We start from the raw sequence: 22,799 nt of genomic DNA, 5'->3' as shown, positions 1-22,799 counted from the left end.
AAGAAGTGATCTTGGCACCCTTCTTGAAAATCAGCTGACTATAGATACGTGGGTTTATTTCTGGGCCCTAAATTCTATTCCATTGATATATCTATTCATATTCCAGTATGACACAGTCTTGATTACTGTTCCTTTGTTGTAAGTTTTGCAATCTGGAAATGTGAGCTCTCCAACTTTGTTCTTTTTCAAGGTTGTTTTGGCAGATCTGAGTCCCTTGAATTTTATATAAATTTTCAGATCAGCTTGTCAAATTTCTGTAAAGAAGTCAGCTCAGTTTTTGATAGAGATTGCTTTGACTCTCTATGTCAACTTGGGAAGAATTGCCATTTTAACAATATTAAATCTTCTGATCCATGAACATGGACATCCATTTCCAATTTCTTCAACAACCAGCTTTGGCAGTATCTCTTCTAGATGTGAATGTTCATGTTAGGTGGGCTGTATTTTGCAAGTTAGCATTAGTCAAATTGAAGCCCTCATGCCTGGATTGTGAGGCATAGTGCTGAGGTTTAACTGTTATTCTGTGTAAAGATTAATTTAGTTGATATAAAAGATGTTTGGAAATTATGCAAAGAAAATAATGTAATATATGATTTGTATTTTTCATGTAAATCTTCACATAAAAAATGGCATGGCCTGTTTTATCGTTTGTTTGTAAACTCATTTTTATCCTAAATATGTGTGGCATAGGAGGGAGATTGTTTCAGGCAAACTTATAGGTCTGTTGCTTTGTTGTGGTGGTACATATCAAAAGACTAACTTCAATGACAGTGAGGAGGGATGTCCTTCAAAACTGTAAAAAATTTGAGACCCTCTTGCATCTGTGTTTCTGTGCCATAAATAGCCCTTCTCAGGCTTGTCATGGGCATGTACCAATGATGTAATAATGATGATTATATCAGAAGCACCACAGGTAGCTTTTGGCATGGTAGGTATAGGGCTGTGGATATCGTCAGTTTGACCAAGTATTCCAAGAGGCCCCATGGAGTTTGTCATCTGTAATAGAGGACGTTAGTGCATTAGTGATGAAAAAACTGCTTACCACTGACTATTGTGATCTCCCAGGGAGTATAAGGCAGCTCCGCAGTAAGTGCCTCTTGTTTTGTGTGACGTGCTTGAATACAAACATTCAGACTGTTTCTTGGGCACAGTAGTGCTCCATCTTATGCCAGCCTCATCAAAGGCTTGAAATAGAGTAGGTGGTGTGTGATACCTAGACACTAACATCCCCTATTCTATTTTCCTTTTTTTGTTGTTATTATCAATGGTCACTCACTTACTGTAAAACTAGACTTTATAAACAGATTATTATTTTAGCTAATTTTCTTCTATGTGTTGATCCCTCCCAGTTTTTGTTCCTTTTTGTTGTTCATTGATTCTAGAGTTGTGTGAAGGAAGCCATTTCGTGATTCCTGGTGCTCCTCTGCTTGCTTAGTGACACTACTAAGAATTGGCACCAGCCTTACAAACACCTGCCTTTGATCCAGAGTAGAGTTTGGGGAGAGGTAGAGTAAGTGACTGCTTATCAAATGTGACCTTGGGGTTGTCAGGCCCTGTTGTTTACCCTACCTTTTCCTACTGCCTCACCTGTCCCCACCCCCTACCCCAGCACATGGTTAATAAATGAAAATCTCCAAATTCGAGATTCATTCTTTTGGTTGAAGGCTTCCATTTTCTGTTAAAATTTGAACAACATGAAACATTTTACTACATTAAACCTTCTGGATAATTTACGTTTAATTGGTTTTGTATACAGAGTGGGATAGATCTCAGTGGGTAAGTGGGGAGAAAGAACAACACACAATTCAATTATTAGACATTTTGGGGGATGCGTAAGAGAAAACCAGAAACAGGGCAGGAGTACCTGGAATCACTGAAGACAGTTTATGCATACACTGTTATTTTACCTAAAGGCAGCCTTTCTCATGGTTCTTAGGCATGTCATGGTGACCCTTCATATTCCCTAGGAAACCCTTTACGGCAGTGTTTGGCAAACTATAGTCTGGTGGGCCAAATCTAGCCTGCTGCCTATTTTTGTAAATAAAGTTTTATTGGAACATAACTATGCTCATTCATGTACATACTCTTTTTTTTTTGGTGGGGGGGAGGTTGGGGGGTTGGAGTCTCGCTGTGTTACCCAGGCTGGAGTGCAGTGGTGCGATCTTGGCTCACTGCGAGCTCCGCCTCCTGGGTTTGTGCCATTCTCCTGCCTCAGCCTCCTGAGTAGCTGCGACTACAGGCGCCCGCCACCATGCCTGGCTAATTTTTTGTATTTTTAGTAGAGACAGGGTTTCACCGTGTTAGCCAGGGTGGTCTCGATCTCCTGACCTCGTGATTTGCCCGCCTTGGCCTCCCAAAGTGCTGGGATTACAGGCATGAGCCACCGCACCCGGCCCATTTACATGCTCTCTATGGGTGCTTTCATGCTACAGTGGCAGAGTTAATTAGCTGGAACACACTTGGACCACAGTGCCTAAAATATGTATCTTGCCCTTTATAGGAATAGTTTGCCAACAGCTCGTGTAGAGTCTCTACTTTTGGAAGGTTAAGTATGGATCATAGATACCTTGAGTTTAATTTGGACTTCCTAACCTCTGATCTCACCATTATGTGGACTCACAGACAGTGGTTTTAAGGAAAGATCACTGCTTATTTCAGGACAAATGCTTGGTCATGATAAAAAAAAAAGTTTAACTTCAAAAATATTCTTAAAATAAATGGTGGCACTGCTTTGTTTTAATCCTAAGTAGCCAATGGAAGATTATATCTCTGATTATACATGTACGTGATCCACCTGCCTCTTTCAGGTGCTCCCATCTTATTATGAGAAATGTTAGAATTTTCCCCTTAGACATTCATCTTCTATTGTTTTTGAAGACCAAACATTTATGTTGCCGTAACTTATTTAAATATACATATGAATATAAGTATAAAATGTTAAGCTCACTCTTGGAAATTTAAAGTGTTTTAGCTGAGTTATGTTTATTCTCTCTTCATTTTCTCTCAGCTTGAAATCCATGGCCCAAAATGACTCTACCAGTGGAGACTCTCTTCTGTGAAGAAGACGACCAGATAAGAGGTTGGGATGAGCATGCCACTGCATCAGATCTCTGCCATTCCATCCCAGGATGCCATCTCTGCTAGAGTCTACAGAAGTAAGACCAAAGAAAAGGAGAGGGAAGAACAGGTACTGGGAGAGTATCTTTTTTAGTTTCATTATTTTTATTAAATTTTTATTAAAGATGACCTAGAACAGTGCTTAAACTCTAAAGGTCAGGTTTTCTCTGATAATATACTGACAAGCACACAAATAGTTGTACTCAGAAGGAATTGTCTTTTTGTAGATTTCTAGGTTTTCAGATTTTGGTGTAAACTACTGTTTATAAATGGTTATAAATGACTTATCTTCATTGGTTAAATCTACCTGATTATTTTTGGTTAATCACTGTGACTAAGTTCTTTGGATTCTCAGAACATGATGCTGCTAGTTTCCTATTCATCGTAGTGTGAAATTTGGACACCAGATGGCTGGAATTTCTTAATATGTGTCTTAGTCTGCCCTAGCTGCTGTAACAAAATGCCATAGCCTGGGTGGTTTAAATAACAAGCATTTATTTCTCACAGTTCTGGAGGCTGGAAATCTGAGATCAGGGTGCCAGCATGGTTGGATTCTGGTGAGGTCTTACTTCCTGACTTATAAACAGCTGCCTTCTTGCTGTGTCCTCACATGGCATAGAGGGAGGAAGGAAGCAAGCTGTCATGTGGCTGTTCATATAGAAGGACTGATCCCATGGAGAGGGTTCCACCCCTAGGACCTAATTGTCTCCCCAAGGCCCCACCTCCAAATACCATTACATTATGGATTAGAGTTCTGGCATAAAAGTTTTGTGGGAAACATAAACATTTAGTCCATAATAGTGTGTACATGGGGAAGCTATACAAACTTGTTTGGAATAGAAAAAGGAAAATGTCCAACAGTTAGGCCAGGAAGGGAGATTCTTTTTGATATACACCCTCACTGCAGGTTTACTGTAGGTGGTTATTTAATAAAGCCTTATTGAATTTATCTATTTGATGGGATTTTTAAGGTCTAAATAAATAGCATTAATCAATTATTTGTAGAATGGGGATTTTTATTGGTATTGGGAAGAAAGAGAAACCATTCTGTCTTACCTTAGTGTGGGGATGGTTTGAACACCCAGTGGCAGCCTGACAGTTCAGGGTGTCGTGGAGCCCAGATGAGGTGGCAGTAGTGGAAGAGCAGTTGAACCAGGAACTTGCAGGGCCCCGTGAGAGCTTCAGCAGCAATGGCACAGGATGAAAATAGTGGTTGTGTTTCTAGGGTCTCAATTGTGGTATCAGGTTTGATTTGAAAGGTAAATTTTTGTCCAGTGGAGCCCATTTTTATTTATGCAGTTTTTCCTGGCACAGGTTCAACCCAAAATCTTTTGCTATGATTTCTGATCCTCCTGTGCTTGGGAGATATTATTCCTACTGAGTCCCATAAGAAGAGTGAACCCTTGCATTTTACCTAGACTCAAATAATCCACCTGTTTGCTTAGTCTAATCTGTTAACACACCCTCGCTGAAGCCCATAACTTCTACAGAGGGTTAATGACTTTTATACAGTACTCAATACAGTTGATGAATGAATGAATGAGTGAATATGAATTCAGTTTCAGTGATATGGGTCATGTCACTGTGGAGATGATCTTTTATTTCAAATACAGTATGAGAACCTTACAATAGTATACTTTCATTTCTTTCCTTCTGGCCTTTTCATTATTGTCTTTTAATAAATTTTAAACCCTAGAATATATTTAAAAAAATACTTTCTCTTTAAATACTTTTCTTTTAAATAATAATAAAGATCTGTTTACTCAGATAATTACCATTTCTGGTGTATTTCCATCTATCATTTTTCTTTTGTCTAAAGGACTTTAGCATTTCTTATAATGTGAGTTGGCTGACAATGACTTCTTTCAGCTTTATTTAAAAAATATTTTTTATTTGTTTCTTGTATTCTGAAGTTGTGCTTGTGGATCAGTGGGTTTACAATTTTCATAGAATTTGGAGCTTTTTGGCTATTCTTCAGATACTTTTTCTGTCCCCCCATTCTTTCTTTGGGGACTCCAGTATACACATTGACTGGCTTAAAGTTGTCCACTGCTGCACTTTTAATTTTTTAAGGTTATTTTTTCTTTCTGCATTTTATTTTGGATATTCCAATTACTTTGTTTATAATTTCATTAATATTTTCTTTTTCAATATCTAATCTGCCAGTAATTCCGTCTAGTGTGTTTTTCATCTCAGACATGTTTTATCACTAGACATTTGTTTTGGATCTTTTTTATATCTTCCATGTCTCTATGCAACTTTTTTAGTATATGAAATAACAGCTATAATGACAGTTTTAGTCCTCTTTTCTGTCATTGTTGGCATGTGTGACTATTCTGAGTTTGCTTTTCTCCCTCACTTCGGTCAGTTTTATTTTCATTTTTGTTATTATTTTTTACTTATTTTTGAGTACAGATCTTGCTCTGTTGCCCAGGCTAGCATACAGTGGCGTGATCACAGCATACCGCAGCCACGAACTCCTGGGCTCAAATGATCCTCCTGCCTCAACCTCCCAAGTAGCTGGCACTATAGACCATGCCTGGATAAGTTTTTCTTTCATTTTGTAGAGTCGGGGTCTTGCTATTGCCCAGGCTGGTCTCAAACTCCTGGGCTTAAGCAATCCTCCCATCTTGGCCTCCCAAATTGCTGGGACTGCAAGTGTGAGCCACTGCACCTGGCCCAGTTTCATTTTTAAGTAAAAGTTTATTTCAGACTAGTTTTAGATTTACAGAAAAATTGTTAAGCTAGGATGGAGTATTTTCATATACCTGACACCCAGTTTCTCATATTGTTATTATTTATAGATTTAGTACAAGTGCAGTGTTGTTACACCACCTGAATAGTGCACATAAGCACCCATGAGGTAATTTCTCATCCCTCACCCACTCCCATCCTCCCACCTTTCTGAGTCTCCAATGTTATTATTCCACTCTCTATGCCCCTGTGTACATATTTTTCAGCTCCCACCTGTAAGTGAGAATATGTGATATTTGACTTGCTCTTTCTGAGTTATTTCACTTAAGATAGTTACCTCCAGTTCTATCCATGTTGCTACAAAAAAACATGAATTCATTCTTTTTTTATAGCTGAGTAGTATTCCATGATGTGGATTACTTTATCCAATCATCCGTTGATGGGCACTTAGATTGATTTTATGTCTTTGCTATTGTGAGTAGTCCTGCAATAAATATTTGAGTACAGGTATCTTTTTGATATAATGATTTCTTTCCCTTTGCGTAGATCCCCAGTAGTGGGATCACTGGATCAAATGGTATTTCTATTAGTTCTTTGAGAAGTCTCCATATTGTTTTCCATAGCAGCTGTACTAGTTTACACTCCCAACAACAGTCTGTGAGCATTCCCTTTTATCTGCATCCTTGCCAACATCTGTTATTGATTTTTTTGACACCTGAGTAATAGCCATTCTGACTGGTGTGAAATGGTATTTCATCGCTTTTATTTGCATTTCTAACTTTTTAAATGTTTCTTGGCCATTTGTATGTCATCTTTTGCAAAATATGTGTTCATGCCCTTTGCCCATTTTTTAAAAAGGTTATTTTTTTCTTGTTGAGTTCTTTGTAGAGTCTACAAATTAGCTTTTTGTAAGATGCATAGTCTGCAGATATTTTCTCCTGTTCTGTAGATTGTCTGTTTTCTCTGTTGATTATTTATTTGCTGTGTAGAAGCTTTTTATTTTAATTAAGTCCCATTTGTCTATTTTCATTTTTGTAGCTTTCCTTTTGAGGTCCTAGGCATGAATTCTTTGCCTTAGGCCAATGTCCAGAAGAGTTTTTCCTAGGTTTTCTTCTAGAATCTTTATAGTTTCAGATCTTTCAGGTCTTTATACTTTCAGGTCTTTAATCCATCTTAAGTTGATTTTTGTATATGGTGAGAGATATGGGTCCAGTGTCATTCTACTGTATATGGTTACCCAATTCTCCCAAGTATCATGTATAGAATAGGGTGTTCTTCCACTAGTGTATGTTTTTGTTGACTTTGAAGAAGATCATTTGCCTGTAGGCATGTGTCTTTAATTTGGGTTCTGTAAGCTGTTTCATTGACCTGTGTGTCTCTTTTTATAATAGTTTTGGTTGTTATAGCCTTATAGTACAATTTGAAGTCAAGTAATTTGATGCCTCAAGTATTGTTCTTTTTGCTTACCATTGCTTTGGCCATTCAGGCTCTTTTCTGGTTCCTTGGGTATTTTAGGATTGTTTTTTCTAATATTGTGAAAAACAATGTTAGTATTTTTATAGGAATTGCATCTGCAGATTTCTTTGAGTAGTATGGTCATTTTAATGATACTGATTCTTCTAACCCATGATCATGTTTGTGTCATATGTGATTTCTTTCGTCAGCGTTTTGTAGTTTTTCTTGTAGAGATCTTTCACATCCTTGGTTGAGTGTATTTCTGAGTATTTTATTATTTTTTTGTAGCTATTGTAAATGGGATTGACTTCTTGGTTTGGTTCTTGATTTGGTTCTCAGCTTGATTATATCATTGTTGTATAGAAATGCTACTGATTCCTCCTCACAACAAAAAATACAAAAATTAGCTGGGTGTGGTGGCACGTGCCTGTAAGTCCCAGCGACTTGGGATGCTGAGGTGGGAGGATCACTTGAGCCCAGGAGGTCGAGGCTGCGCTAAGCTATGACTGCGCCACTGTGCTCCAGCCTGGGTAACAGAGTGAGACCGTTTCAAAAACAAACAAAGAAACAAACCCCAACTAAACAAAAGAAATACTACTGATTTTGTAGGTCGATTTTGTATCCTGAAACTCTACTGAATTAATTTATCAAATTTACGAGTGTTTTGGAGGAGTCTTAGGGTTTTCCAGGTATAAAATTATATCAGCAAACAGAGATAGTTTAACTTCCTCTTTTACAATTTAGATGTCTTTTCTTTCTTTCTATTGCATTACTGCTCTGGCCCGATAGGACTTTTAGTACTGTGTTGAGTAGGAGTGGTAAGAGTGGGGATCCTTGTCTTCTTCCATTTCTTAAGGGGAATGCTTTCAACCTTTCCCCATTCAGTATGATGTTGGCTGTGGGATTCTTGTATATGGGTTTTATTATTTTGAGGTATGTTCCTACTACACCAAGTTGTTGAGTGGTTTTTATCATGAAAGAATGCTGAATTTTATCAAATGCTTTTTCTGTATCTATCGAGATAATATGGTTTTTGTTTTTAATCCTGTTTATGTGGCAGATCACATTTATTGATTTTTGTATGTTAAACCCTACTTGTATCCCTGGAATATAACCCACTTGATTGTGGTGTACCATGTTTTTTGATGTGCTGTTGGATTTGGTTTGCTAGTATTTTCTTGAGCGTTTTTGCATCTGTGTTCATTAGGGGTACTGATTGATTCTGTTTCTGTTTTTGTGTGTCCTTGCTTGGATTTGGTGTTAGGGTGATACTGGCTTCAGTTAGAGAGGATTTTCTTCAATTTGGGGGAACAGTGTTGTCAATAGGATTGGTACCTATTCTTCTATGTCTGGTAGAATTTGGCTGTGAATTCATCTGCTTCTGGGGTTTTTTGTTGTTGGGAGATTTTTTTTTATTTTTATTACTGGTTAAGTCTTACTGGTTATTGGTCTCTTCAGGCTTTCTCTTTCTTAGTTCATTCTTGAGAGGTTGTGTGTCTTTAGGAATTTACCTGTTTCATCTAGGTTTTCTAGTTCGTTAGTGTAGAGATGTTCATGGTAGACTCTGATGATCTTTTGTATTTCTGTGGTATCATTTGTAGTGTCTTTTTCATTTCTGATTGTGCTTATTTGAATTTTCTTTCTTCTTGGTTAATGTAGCTAGTAGGCTGTCAATTTTGTTTATCTTTTCAGTGAAGCAACTTTTTGTTTCTTTATCTTTTGGGTTTTTATGATCTGGATTTCATTTAGTTCTGCTCTTCATCATTTCTTTTCTTCTGGGTTTGGTTTGTTCTTGTTTTTCTAGTTCCTTGAGGTACTATGTCAGGTTAACTTGTGGTCTTTCTATTTTTTTCGATTTAGGCATTTAACGCTATAAACTTTTCTTTCTTGAATCCATTTACAGTCAACACTATAAGCTTTTGCTGTATTCCAGAGGTTTTGGTATGTTGTGTCTCTACTTTTGTTTAAAAAATTTTTAAACTTCCATCTTAATTTCATCACTGACCCAAAAATCATTCAAGAGCAGGTTAATTTCCATGTATTTGTATAGATTTGAGAGTCCTTCTTGGAATTGACTTTAGGTTTTTTCCACTGTAGTCTGAGAAGACAACTTGAAATGATTTCAGTTTTTTAAAAATTTATTGAGACTTGCTTCATTCCTTAAGATAAGGTCTGTCTTGGAAAATGTTCCACATGCTAATAAGAAGAATGTATATTCTGTGATTGTTGGGTAGCTTGTTATATAAACATCTGTTAGGTCTATTTGTTCTACAGTCCAATTTAAATCCAGTGGGGTTTTTTTTTTCTTTTTTTTTCTGTCTCAGTGGTCTGTCTAGTGCTGTCAGTGGGGTGTTGAAGTCCCCTCTTGTGCTATAAAGGAATGCCCAAGGCTGGGTAATTTATAAATAAGAGATTTTATTTGGCTCACTATTCTGCAGACTGTACAAGAAGCACAGTGGTTGTGTAAAAGTGCCTGGCCTCCTCTCTTCAGCCTGGCTTGTTGGCTGGTAGCAGCAGCTGCTCAGGGCTCGGAAGCCTGTGTACTCCCATGTGAGTTTGAGCAATGCCTCTGTCAATCTCCAGGCAACTCACTCTATTAGGCTGGAGACCTGCGAGGGTCAAGGGGGTCTCCCACAGCTAGCGTTGCAAAAGTCCATGGTGGGAATGTGGAGCCCTGGGAGTCTCTCATCTACCCTTTCCCAGCATCTAGAAGCTTCTTTCATCTCTCAGCAATCCTGGCTGAGCACGTGCCTTGCTTCCTTCTCCTTTGTGATCAGTGATTCCTGTTGCTTTTCAGTTGAATTCCAGTGTTCTGTTTTAGATGACCTATTTGAAGGGTGAATATCTACTCGCCGTTTTGGAGCTTTCCATGGAAGAGGCATGTACTAGCTGCATCTAGTTAGCCATCTTGAACCAAGCTTCCAGTTTCTCATATTATTAACATCTTAAAATAGTGTGCTGCATTCATCATAGTTAGTGAACTAATATGAATACATTATAGTTTTAAAGTCCATGCTTTATTCAGATTTCCCTACTTTTTAACTAATGTCCTTTTTGTGTTCCAGGATCTCATCTCTAGGATGTAGCATATTACATTTTGTTGTTGTATCTCCTTAGGCTCCTCTTGGCTATGACAGTTTCTCAGACTTCCCTTGTTTTAGATTACCTTGACAGTTTTGAAGAATACTGATCAGGTATTTTGTGGAATGTCCTTCTATGGGAATTGTCTGATATTTTTCTCATGACTAGACTAGGGTTATAGGTTTTGGGATGGAAGTCCACAGATACAATGTACCAGTTCATCACAACAGATCGAGTATACTATCAACATGATTTATGACTGATTTTCTTGACCACCTGGCTGATATAGTGACTATCAGGTCTCTCCACTATAAAGTTACTCTTTTTCTCCCCTTTTGTACTTCATTCTTTGGAAGGAAGTCACTAGGCATAGCCCACTTTAAAGAATGGGGAGTTGTGCTCCCCCTCCTTGAAGGTGGAGTCTTTACATGAATTATCTGGAATTCTTCTACATGTCTGGAACCCAAATTGCAAGATTGTCCAAAAAATACATTTTTCAATTTTCTGCCCTGTCCTCCTTGATAAAGGGATCCTGAAAGAAATGATCTGTATCCCAGGATTCCTGAAAGGTGATAAGTAAGAAGGTAATTCAATGATCAACTTATATTTAAAGTAAGCTACACAGAAAATAAAAGTGGTATTTTATATATTTATAAACAGTCCTAGTTTTGGCCCTGTTGTCCTGCTACTGAGGTCAAAAGGAGGATTTTACCATGCAGCATCAGGATGATGGTCAGTAAACACAATTTCGTATTTGCTCTAAAAACACATGAGTATTGATAGATCATACTGTATTCATTTGTACCTAACATCTTTTGAAAAAATGACCTCACAATGTTCAAGTGATAACAATATCTTTAGACAGAATCACCACACTTTTACTACTTAAAAATTATTCTCTTTTCTCTATTAGATAAATTCTTCCCTTTTAAATAATAAAAACCTAATATAAGGAACTTGGAGAAAACCTCTTGAATTTTAACATTGCAGTATCTCCAGAGCCATGTGGGCAAACTCCCAGTTTAATGCTTGAACCTACTCTGTATTATCATGGCCAGTTTGTTTTTAGGGCACCATTAGGGCATCAGCCCTGATGCTAACCCACTACTTCGAAAGGCGGTTGTTTTGTGCTTTTTTTTTTGGGCTACCAGAGATTTGAGATACAGTATAAGACCAAACTGTCTGTAGCTTTCTCTTACTGACACTTTTACTTTTTGCTTCCAGGAACTGCCAGTCTTATTCTGCAGGATAAAAATCCCTTATAATCACGTATTATTAGTTGGGTCTCTCAGCATTCTAGTTACTGTCTTTTAGACCATTTCTAGCTTTTTTATAGAAGTATGTTTTCATGAAGAGATGAATATGCATCTTTAAAATAAACCTGTTGCAGATTACTGTCTGGTTAGGCATCACCATCTGTGAGATCATTTGCGTGGCTTCTTGAATCATCCATCTACCTTACCTGCAAGGGCCACAAGAGATTAATTTTCTCATACCTGGAAACCAGAATTTCTTTGTCACCTGTTTACCTGTTCTTGCTCCCTGGAGTCTTTCACTTCTGCTTCCAAGCGTGTTTTTCCTATTTGGTAATCACAGCGATCTCTGAAACCCCTTGGAAGTATCTCCTAGTTGGCTCAAACATGTATAGAAAGTTGTAGCATGCTTAACATTTAAGAACCAAAGATGACTTCTTTACTAAATGGTCATTTTCTGCTTTGTAGGCTTGTTTTCTTTGAGAATAAAGAGAAGTTTTGATGTTTTTCTAGAGATTAAAAAAGAGTATGCTGTTATAAAACATTAAATTCAGGTTGACCCATTTGAACGGCTACATCTACATTTTCTTTTGCATATATAGATTTTTGAAGCTTAAATGCAGATAAAATTATGTGCAACTTTGAGGTCCTGCAATTTTAAATATTCTTAGTAAAAAGCCAACAATATCGATTCCAGCTATTTTATATATTAGCAGCTTACCTATATCAGCCAATTCTCACGTAAAACTTGAGAACTGGTAATGGTTTGCTGTTTATTTATTTAGAGTTTAGAGATGGAAGGAATGCACAGAATAACTGTAGCTGACCTCTGTGGATGTTGGTCTAGTGAGAGTTTGCTAGTTAAGAGTGTACATAATCTAGGTAAAACCAAGAGTCTTGTCTGGTTGTGCGGTAAGTGAAGCATTTGCAGTTGGTTTCAGTGTGTTGCATATAAGTTGAGTCAAGGTGGTGTATGAATACGTTTGTCTAGGTATCACTGTAGGACTTGATGATTATGATTTCTTGGTTGTCACTACTCTCTTATAGCTGTCCTGTGTGAATTGGACAACTAGGTGGCAGATAATTTTTCAGATTTTCTGTCAGTAACTTGAAAATAAGAAAACCACTCAAATATATTTATTTATTTTTCACTCTTTGTTTTTATTTATTTAGTTTAGAGATTGGGTCTCACTCTCACAGGCTGGAGTGCAGTGGCATGATCATAGCTCACTGCAGCCTTGAACTGCTGGGCTCAAGTGATCCTCCCATCCCAGCCTCCTGAATAGCTGGGACTATAGGCATACACCATCACATGTGGCTAAATTTTTTATTTTGAAGAGATGAGATCTTGCTATGTTGCCAAGGCTGGCCTCAAACTCCTGGCCTCAAGCCATCCTCCCACCTTGGCTTTCCAAAGTGTTGGGATTATAGGTGTGAGCCACCCTATTGGGCCCCTAATTTATTTTTTAATGCAGAGATTGCAGTAAATAATACTACAGTCCTAGTGTCCTGTAATCGTTGTTAATGGCTTTTGATATGTGATGTTATTGAGATGACTTCCTTATTTTACACATGAATAAAACAGCACCAAAGATAAATGCCTGACTGTATATTTTTTTCCATATTGTTTTGTTTCCTCTAAAAAAATGCTTGCACATGAATATAGACTGCACACACATATTTTTTCATTCATTTGTGCATCAAATAGTTTTGTGTTTTTAAGAGACAGGGGTCTCATTCTGTTGCCCACGTTGAGGTGCAGGGGTGCAATTATAGCTCACTTGGGGGGCCACGTGTTGGTATTATAGACACGAGCCATCACACCTGGCTTGGAATGTTTTATATCTTCCATACCACTTTTGCATAGGGAATGAACTGTCATCCCTTTCATCCAGTCATCCTAATGCCGAATTTGTGTGTTTTTCATGTTTGTTTCTGAAGAACTCAATTTACCACATTTCAGAAGCCTGTTTTTTAAAAAGCAGAGCAGGGCACTGCTGTTGGATTCACACTGTTCAGGTAATACATGAACAGTGGTAGAATTACAAGGACATCTTAATAGCATCTTTTGCCTCAGGGCTTTGGTTTTGAGTTAGGCTTAGGATGATTAAGGTAGTGTTTATGTATTACTAGCTGTGTACGTAATTAGCACTTCTAAGCAGTCATACACCCAAATTGGGAAAGATGTGCTCAACTGATTTGTATTACACCCCAGGATTGTTACCCAAGGTGTGTAGATGTCTGTTCCCTGAGAGCAAAGGTCTTTTCATCTAATTAGCAGTGTGACCTTGGGTTCTTACTGAACTTGGAGGAGACTGCTTATTTTCTGGAAAGTGGTGGAGATGAAATGGTTACTTTGTGGGAGATAGTCACTCCCACAGTGTGTCCACTCCCAGATAGTGTCCTTCAGGCCTCAGTGGCCCTCCCATACCAATCCACTGAGAGTTGTCACCCCAAATCTAACAGTCACAAGGCTAGCATCTTTTACCAACAAAACTTTGATAATAACTGAAAAAATTATTTTATTAAATTAATATGCAGAGTTTTTTGGGGGAAATTTGAACCTTGAACCCCTGACTTTAAAAAGTTGTTTATCATTAAAAACAGAAAAATGTGGGAGGACTGTCTTAGATTATAAAAAACTAAAAAGACAACCAGTGTAATATGTGTACCTTGGTGGAACATGTTAAAAACATAAATACCTGTAAGGTGTGTTTTTTGGACAACTGGGAAAGCTGAATATTTTCTATATATTAGATAATAATGATAGAATTACAGTTAATTTTATGCATCAGAATATGTATATCAGAGAAAGAAAAAGTAAATGGGCAGATTTTATAACAGTTGATGCATCTAGGTGAAGGACAGACAGGTATTCATTGTACTATTCTTTTAGCTTTTCTGTAGATTTAAAGTTTTTCAAATCAAAAGTTTTGGGAAATAAAAGATTATGCTTGCCGAAAGTGAGCTGAAGAAAGCGTCGCAGTAGACAATAATAAATAGTAAATTATACGAAATAATTTAAAGGCCAATGGGCAAGTTATCTCACACTTCCTAGGTATTCATATAATTTTAAATCTAATTCCAAATTTTTTGTTATCTTATGTAAACATTGGTTTGCACCATGTCTGGGAGGCACAGGCAGACTTTCCAAAAGGAGCAGAAGCATGGGCAGTTTTAACGACTCCATTTTCAGATCTTTACCTTCCACATACACTTGAGCCTAAAACTGTTCATGCACCCACATTTCTGAGCAGCTAGTTTTCGACTCTGAAGAAGGAAAGGCCCCTACATTTTACTATGTCTCTTAATTTTGCTATGCTGCATTGTTCTAGGGAATAAAAATCAGGTCATCAAACAAAGGAATACTTGGAATTACTGGTTTTGGGTAATCTTTTTTACTGCTTAATCAAATCATGGTATACCTGCCTAGGCAGTTTATCTTTTCCTGTCTTATTCAAGAGGCTTCAAAATGAAGGTATTTGGGCACATTCTGGATTCAGATATATCATAGGTAGATTTATAAAAGTGACTTCATTCCCCATCAATTGTTCTTCAATGAAGAACTTTTGGGGAAAAGACCCTTAAAAGCAAAGCAGAGTGAGTTTCAAGTGATGAAAATAGTTTTCTAAAAAATGTAACGTAATTAAAGATAAGTTGATTATTTTTTTTAGCTGTTCACAGGTTTAGTTGCTACGATGGGTAATTAACTAGAAAGCAATATACCTTTGAACAGCAACTTTTCAAGATATTACAGATAAAGAACAAAGTTAAAAGTATTTTGTGATTTCTTTCAGTTGAAATGTGTATCATTCAACAAAGTAGTTAATGCTTCTTTTTATCAAATCATAGAAAATATTCCAATTATATTTAATCCTCATAAAATATTTTGTATTTTCTATCTCCTAATAAAAAATGTAATTACATTCTTGCTGTCAGACTGATTTGTTTTTAGAAGTACAGTAATTGCAGCAGGTTTTAATCTCACATTGGTATTTGCTTCACGCCCCCTCGTGTGGTAGAATGGAACTTGTAGACTAGGTAAATTCTTAGAACATAAGAAAAGCGCCTGATGGAGTCCCCCAGAAATCTGGTGACTAGCCCAGGCCACAGTTGTACTTGTCACCTGTTTTAGACCCTCGTCCCATTCTAACTCTCAAGACTGACTTTGCTTTACCCTGAACCACACATACCTTTGTACAGTTTATCCTGGCCAGCACTACTTCAGCATTGATTTTTTTCCCCAGTATGAAAGGAACTTAATTTGATATTATTTAGCTTAAATAATGCTGTATACTATGTCAAGTATTCACAGATGGTTTAAATGCTTAAGAATGTTTATTACTGTGAATACTGTTTTTTACTGTATTTAAGTAGGCCAACATATGGTATTTATAAATTGCCTCTATAACATTTATGGATTAAAATTTTTATATTTCGAATAATGGCTAACACTTACATATCATTTACTGTGAGCCAGGCACTGTCCCAAGGACTTTCCATATGTTAACTCACTAAATTGAATCCTTACAGCAACCCTTTGAAGTAGGCATTACTGTTGTGGTCATGATCACTTTATGGATTGATTTGGAAGCTGAGAATCAAAAAGGTTGGGTATGTGATAACTGATGGAGGTGGGATTTGAGTCTTGGGTCACTGCTGCTGAGTGCGTAGTTCTCATCACCTGGGCAGTGAGTGGTGCACTCCAGGTGCTGTTGTCCTCCTCAGGTGAAGGAGAGCTGCTGCTCTTATTTGTTCATGACATTCCCTCTGAGTCACCTGGGCTAGAAACTAGGGAGCTCCTTTTGCCGACTTTGCTCTTAATGCGCCACTCATCAATAAGTTTTACTGATTCCACCTCTGAAATGTTTTCTTTGTCCTTCCTCTCTGCCCTGGTGCTACTGCTGTATTTCAGGCAGCCGTGTAGGTCAGGGGCTGGCAAATCATAGCCCATGGTCCAAATCCAGCCACTGCTGTTTTTTATGACTTGCCAGCTAAAAACGGTTTTTACATTTTTAAATGGTTGGAGAAAAGTCAAGAGATTAATATTTTACGATGCATGAAAATGATATGAAATCAAAATTTCAGTTTTCATAAATATAGTTTTATTGGAGTAGAGCCATGCTCATTTCCTTGTGACTACTTTTGTCTGACAATGGCAGAATTGAGTAGGTGTAATAGAGAATATGACTTGCAAAGCATAAAATATTTCCTCTCTGGCTCTTTACAGAAAAAGTTTGCTGACCCTTGATCTAGATTATTGCAGTAGTCTACTTACTGACTTCCCAAACCTTCCCTTATGTCTCCTTCCTTTCTGTTCTCATTGTGGATGGATGGGTGGTAGTGGGAGGATACAAGAAACTAGCATCTGTATCTCTGATATGGCGTTTATTTAGTTTTGCCACATAGTCATATCTGTTAGTTGTTTACCTGTTTATCTCATGTAATAGAGTAGGAACTCCTTATTGTACAGATGATACCTTACTCATGAACAAAGGGATGGTATCCACATGATACCCATGCTTGAATGAAGATATATTCAATCCTTTACGAATGGCACTTTAAATTTTTACTCACATATTTTATATTTTCATTTTAAGATCAAATTGAAAAAGACAGCAGTTGGTGAAATCTGTCAGAAGTTTTTTTGTGTGTGTAGACTCCCTTCCAGCATATCTTTTAGAGCTTTTACAAGGTGGTGGGATCCTTGTTACTTCTTTTGTAACACTGACAAAGGAAGTGTTACGAAGGTGTTACTAGGTCCTCTCACAAGTACAGTGGTTTAAAAGCTAAGCCATTTTGATTAGTGTATGATACATGCTTTATTAGAGCCATTCTGGCCAAGAGCAATGATAGGATGCTGGTAGCTTTGGGAATGCTCTTGAAAGTTACAAGAGGGCTCTAGAACCATACCAGTGTCCAGGGGTTACAGTTTGCTGCTGAACTGAGATCAGCAGGATTGGCATTACAGAGATAATGTGGAAACGGATTTCCATTCCACAGGATGCTCCCTTGGGCAATCTGTTAGGAGTTGAGGAAGCTCCTAATATTCTGGAAGGACCAAACATGTACAGTAAAGGTCAGAGCAAACTGGATATCTCGTCTAGAGTATTGGGCAGTGTTTGAGGAGGCAGGTTTTGAAGATCATGGAAAGCAAAAGTTCTTCAGATCAGAGTCTTTAGAGCAGTAGTCTAGGCAGGGAAAATCCATGAATGGGTGAACTGCAGGCAGGTAGGTTGTTGATACTTTCCTGCTGCCTCAAGGACATACCATTGCTGTTGTCTTAAGAGTTCTGAGGTCTTGGTTGTAATGTCAGCAGTGCGAGAATACACATGTCATCAAGCTGCAAACTGCGTTCTGTGTCATCGGAGCTCTCTTTTCTGTACTGATGTGGCACTGTGATGGTAGAATCACAGATACTCAGGGGTCAGTCCAACTTTAATTCAGAGTTCTTCTGAAGGTTGGAAGGACTTGCCTGATAACCATCACCTTGCCTTCATTGATAATTCTTATGAAAGCCTGCCCCTCCATAGTCATCAGGCCTTTTATCTCAGACAACCAAGAGCAACCAGAATTCTTTATGAGACACCTGAGATACGATGTGCACTCATCACCTCTTGTATTAGCTGCCAGGAAGCCTAGTCTCTGAGAGAAGTACCTGATAATGCAAAAAAATTAAGTTTTAACTTAAAATATTCAAGAAACATAGATTGCTAAGATCACGATCATCTTAAAATTGGAGGGTTAGTTTATCACTTACAATTAATAGTGCCTAGCAGTCTCTTATGCTTGTTTGACATTTGTCATGAAAAAACATTGCAAATCCTTGCCTGTGTTATATATTTGTTCACCCAGACATCAGTCTGCTAAGGAGGACATGGAGAATATAGACTTTCATGAAGGTATACAAGAAAATGTGAAGGGCACTGTATTCCAGAGTCTTTTTGTGTGAAGTTTTAGTTATAGCAGTTCTAAGCCCTTATGTTAGGCTGTCTTGTTGCTGTAAAGAAATACCTGAGACTGAGTAATTCATAAAGAGGTTTAATTGCCTCGTGGTTCTGTAGGCTGTACAGGAAGCCTGACACCGGCATCTGTTCAGCTTCTGGTGAGGCCTTGGGCTGCTTACAGAAGGCAGAGGGAGAGTGTTGTCTCATATGGCGAGAGCAGGAGCAAGAGGTCTGGGGAGGTGCCACACATTCTTAAATGACCAGATCTTCTGAGAAATCACTCTATCATGAGGACAGCACCAAGGGGATGGTGGTAAAAACCATTCCTGAGGGATCAGCCCCCATGATCCAGTCGACCTCCCACCAGGTCACACCTCCAACATTGGCAATTAAATTTCAACATGAGATTTGGTGGAGACAAATATCCAAACTATTTTGAGCCCTTCTTAAGAGGTTCTCTTTTTACATTATATTCATATTACTATTCTTGGGATGGGGAATGGAAGGAGGCCCTAAAACATCGGTAGAATTGTTCACGTGTATAGTCCATAAGAAAAGTTTTTAATAACTTGGTTAAGTGCTAGTGGATTCACAACTCTACTGTCAACTAGCTGATACTCCAGGGAAATTTGGTGTCCATGTTTTGACTTCTTGTTGTGCTACTCACCACTGTTGCCACCATTGTGCCAAACTGTCTGTCCTTTTAATTTGCTTTTACAATCCAGTGTTCCCATACATACTGCAGGCCAAAGGGTGAGCCTGGCTGTTAATAAGGAGGTACATACATATATTTTAGCAGAGTGAATAGATTTAGCTGCCTTGGCAGGTGACTGGAGAGCTGTCTGGGAGTGTTGAGAGAAACAGCTGGGGTTGCCATTTTATAGGATTGAGGCTCTGGATTGGGTTGGACTAAATGATCTTTATGTCGCTGTTAATTCTGAGGATTTTTTTGAGCACTCTTAGCCACACTTGATTCTTTTTTTTTTGAGACAAAGTCTTGTTCTGTTACCCAGGCTGGAGCACAGTGGCGCAGTCTCAGCTCACTGCAACCTCCGCCTCCCAGGTTCAAGCGATTCTCCTGCATCAACTTCCTAAGTAGCTGGGATTACAGGCACGTGCCACCACGCCCAGCTTATTTTTGTATTTTTAGTAGAAATAGGGTTTCGCTGTATTGTCCAGGCTGGTCTCGAACTCCTGACCTCAGGTGATCCACCCACCTTGGCCTCCCAAAGTGCCGGGATTAACAGGCGTGAGCCACCGTGCCTGGCCCACACTTGATTCTTAATAATCAATCAGTTTGAGCCAGGCACAGTGGCTCACACCTATAATCCTACCATTTTGGGAGCCGAGGCAGGAAGATCTCTTGAGGCCAGGAGTTTGAGACCAGCCTGGGCAATATAGTAAGACCCTGTCTCTACAAAAAATAATTAGCAAAATGAAACATACTGGAGATCACTGTTTTAGTGATCTCTTGTGTCTAGGCTGGGAATGAAGTAGAGAAGACAAGAAGCATAGTGATCAACCTTAGAACTGATTATCTTCATCAGGAAACTGGGAGTTAGCAGAACGCAGGGCAAAAGAGAACATCAAGGAAATAAGTCTCTGTAGAGAACAGGAAGTGGAAGAAGGGACACATTGTGAGCCTCAGGTGATAGGCCCTCTTATCCTCTCATTCATGGGATGGGGTAGGGGAGTGGGTGGTCAGGATTTGGAGAAAAAGGAATGTCACTTCAAAAGGGGAAGAGAACAACTTGGGCTAGACACTTTCTGGTGGACATGAAATCTCGTAAGACATTGAGGGGATTACAGAATGTTGAGGAAAAGGATATCCCTGGGAGAAGAGAACAGAGTTAGGGCTTTCAATAGAGACTGGTTCCTTTGTCTCTTTACCACACACCATGAACTGCCCTCTCCGCAGCATGCCTGCAGAAAGCTGCTTGAATGCGGCATCAGCTCCCAATAGCTGGAAGAGGAAGGGTTCCCCTAGACAACACGGCATCACACACACACAAGCCAGATCGAATGTCCTTGTGAAGTGGAAGGCAATGAGGGGACTTGGTGAGGCCTCTGTACACATGTCCGGACAGTGAAAGGCTCAGTGCTTGTGGAATGATGCAGAGTCTGTACTGGAAGAAATCATTATTTCCCTGCAAAAAAGGAAGAGAATTCCTATCTACTGTGGAATAGTATAATAGGAACTAGAAGTTTATAAAACATAAGTTCAGAAGTGATAAAATAGGTGAAAAGAAGAAGGTGAAAAGGGAAAATACAAGGGCAAGAAACACTTGGGGAACTTGTTTGTTGCAGAACAACAAATAAATTAGAAGCAGCGAGGAACAGAATACTCATGGCTGAAAAATTACCTTAGTGACAGCAAAAGCTTGAGATGTTTACAGTGAGTTCAGAAGAGAAAACATTGCAGCAGTGAGAAAAAAGGACGGCTATGGGAAACAGGTGGAGAACATTACAGGTGATTGGACTGCCTACAGGTGCAGTTGAGATGATACCATTATTGGCCTTCCCTTCTCTGGTTCAAGTTTGTCTTGGAATGATGATTTTAAGTTGCAGAAAATTGACTTCTTTAGATATGACTCATTTGGAAATATGTAAGCATGGACAAATTGGTGAAAATGAATATTCATGTACTTCCTAGAAGAATACCAATGAGATGGACGATTTATTTATAGCCTGAAACCAGGAAAATTCCTCCTTGAAGCAGTTTGTTTCCTGGCATTGATACGCAGAGCTCCCCTCCCCCACCCTGTGATGATGGTCTGCAGGAACTGATCTTTTACTAAATGTAAATACTGACCTGCTGATCACAGGGCAAGCATTTTGCTGCTTTTTCTGCATCCAGAACTCATTATGTAGGGTGGGTTTTGTGGGGAAAAAAATTTTGTTTTGTTCTGTCAGACATCTGTGGTTAATCATTTAGCTTTTCTACATTAAAAAAAATATTTCAAGTAAGTCTGGGTGACAGGTTGGCACACAGGAAGAGCAAACAGATCCTGTAACATTTACTGTCATTGACGGGAAACTGAGCTTTCATTCCTTGTATGGCACCAAGTAAGTCTTAGAATCGTTACATTGCAGATTGCTATGGGGAGACTATAGGCAGAGGTGAAATTGGTTGCTAGAATGGACTTGTCATGAATTATTCATTCACTGCCTCGTTCCTTGAAAATCAGCTGGAGGAAGTAGTCCAGTTTGATGGCAGGAGTGGTATGCTGAGGGCTTCAGCAAGCCCTCACAAGTCCAGCTGCGACAGCCAGCCATGTGCTGCTGCTGGCAGCTGTAGGGTGGCAGCTGCTGTGCAGGCAGCGCCTGTTCCCCGGCATCAAGCACAGGGACCATGTTGCGGGGAAGCGCTGCACTGAGCGCACACCAATGCATTCTTGTTGGAAAATGAAGCTTCAGGTAGGAGACGTGCCCTGTCAGCTGTGCCTGGTTTCTCACTGATTCAGGGATGCCATTAGGCTTTATGGAACAGACGTGTAGAACCCAGAGTTGCTCAAGGATGCCTCACTCTTGAGGTTCCCAGCCAGAAAAACTTAGCAGTTTAATTTTAATTTCATTTTCAATGATGTACTTTGTTTCTAACAAAACTGTTTCTTGAAATTGCGAAAAGTATTCTTAAGCCAGTAAGCATTTAAACATATAGATTATAGCATTTTTAAATGTATCGTCTTATTCTTGATGTAAAAAAATCTTTTTTATTGATATAATATTGCCCACTTAAATTATGGAGTTATGGCTTTGAAAAACCCTGAGAAAGACAACTGAGTTCATAATTTTAATGAACGCACCTTCAGGCTCTATTGCTATTTTCTAGAGGAAGTGTTGTTTTCAGAAGCCACTCCAATTCTTTCTGCTGGAGCATTCATTCTGGGAAGATCTTTTAGCTTCTCATAGGGTGGAAAAATGCATAGAAGACAGAACAAAGGGTCTTTGTTCTGTTTTGTGGTATTATTTCCCACGTGTGTGTGTAAGCCAGACATGTAATTTCATTTGGCAGGGCTGTTCCAGTGTTGCCATTTGCTCCCTCTGTCTGATTTTTTGTGGATGCCGTCTCTGTTAACTTTGCTGAGGCTATGAGATGTTCTTGAGCTGTGGGGACATGCAAATAGCAAAGATGAAAAGAGCCAGAGTATTAAGGAATCCAGGCCAAATTGAATACACTATTTCATCAGTAAATATATCATTTATAGTTTTAAAACTCTAACAAACATCCCCTGAACACAAGCCCTGAGCT

The 22,799-nt window shown here is 38.7% G+C and overlaps 1 protein-coding gene across 15 annotated transcripts in view; it reads left to right on the top strand.

The window, feature by feature from the left end:
• The window catches only part of MARCHF8 (membrane associated ring-CH-type finger 8), a 140,323-nt gene that overhangs the window by 58,611 nt on the left and 58,913 nt on the right, over positions 1–22,799 (top strand). For 12 of the 15 annotated variants that reach the window (XR_007061947.1, NM_145021.6, NM_001401646.1 and 9 more), the window contains one exon: positions 3,008–3,187. Coding sequence is in view for 14 of the 15 variants with exons in the window: in NM_145021.6 (NP_659458.2) it covers positions 3,086–3,187 (102 nt within the window). In the remaining variant the exon portion in view is untranslated. Of the gene's footprint in view, positions 1–925; positions 1,087–1,126; positions 1,196–3,007; positions 3,188–22,799 lie in introns of those variants that run through there. The other 3 variants (NM_001002266.3, NM_001282866.2, XM_011539495.2) reach the window with 2 other exon arrangements.

The sequence above is a fragment of the Homo sapiens genome, chromosome 10 (assembly GCF_000001405.40).
Source record: "Homo sapiens chromosome 10, GRCh38.p14 Primary Assembly".
Taxonomy (NCBI): domain Eukaryota; kingdom Metazoa; phylum Chordata; class Mammalia; order Primates; family Hominidae; genus Homo; species Homo sapiens.
This window is presented reverse-complemented; position numbering and strand designations above follow the sequence as displayed.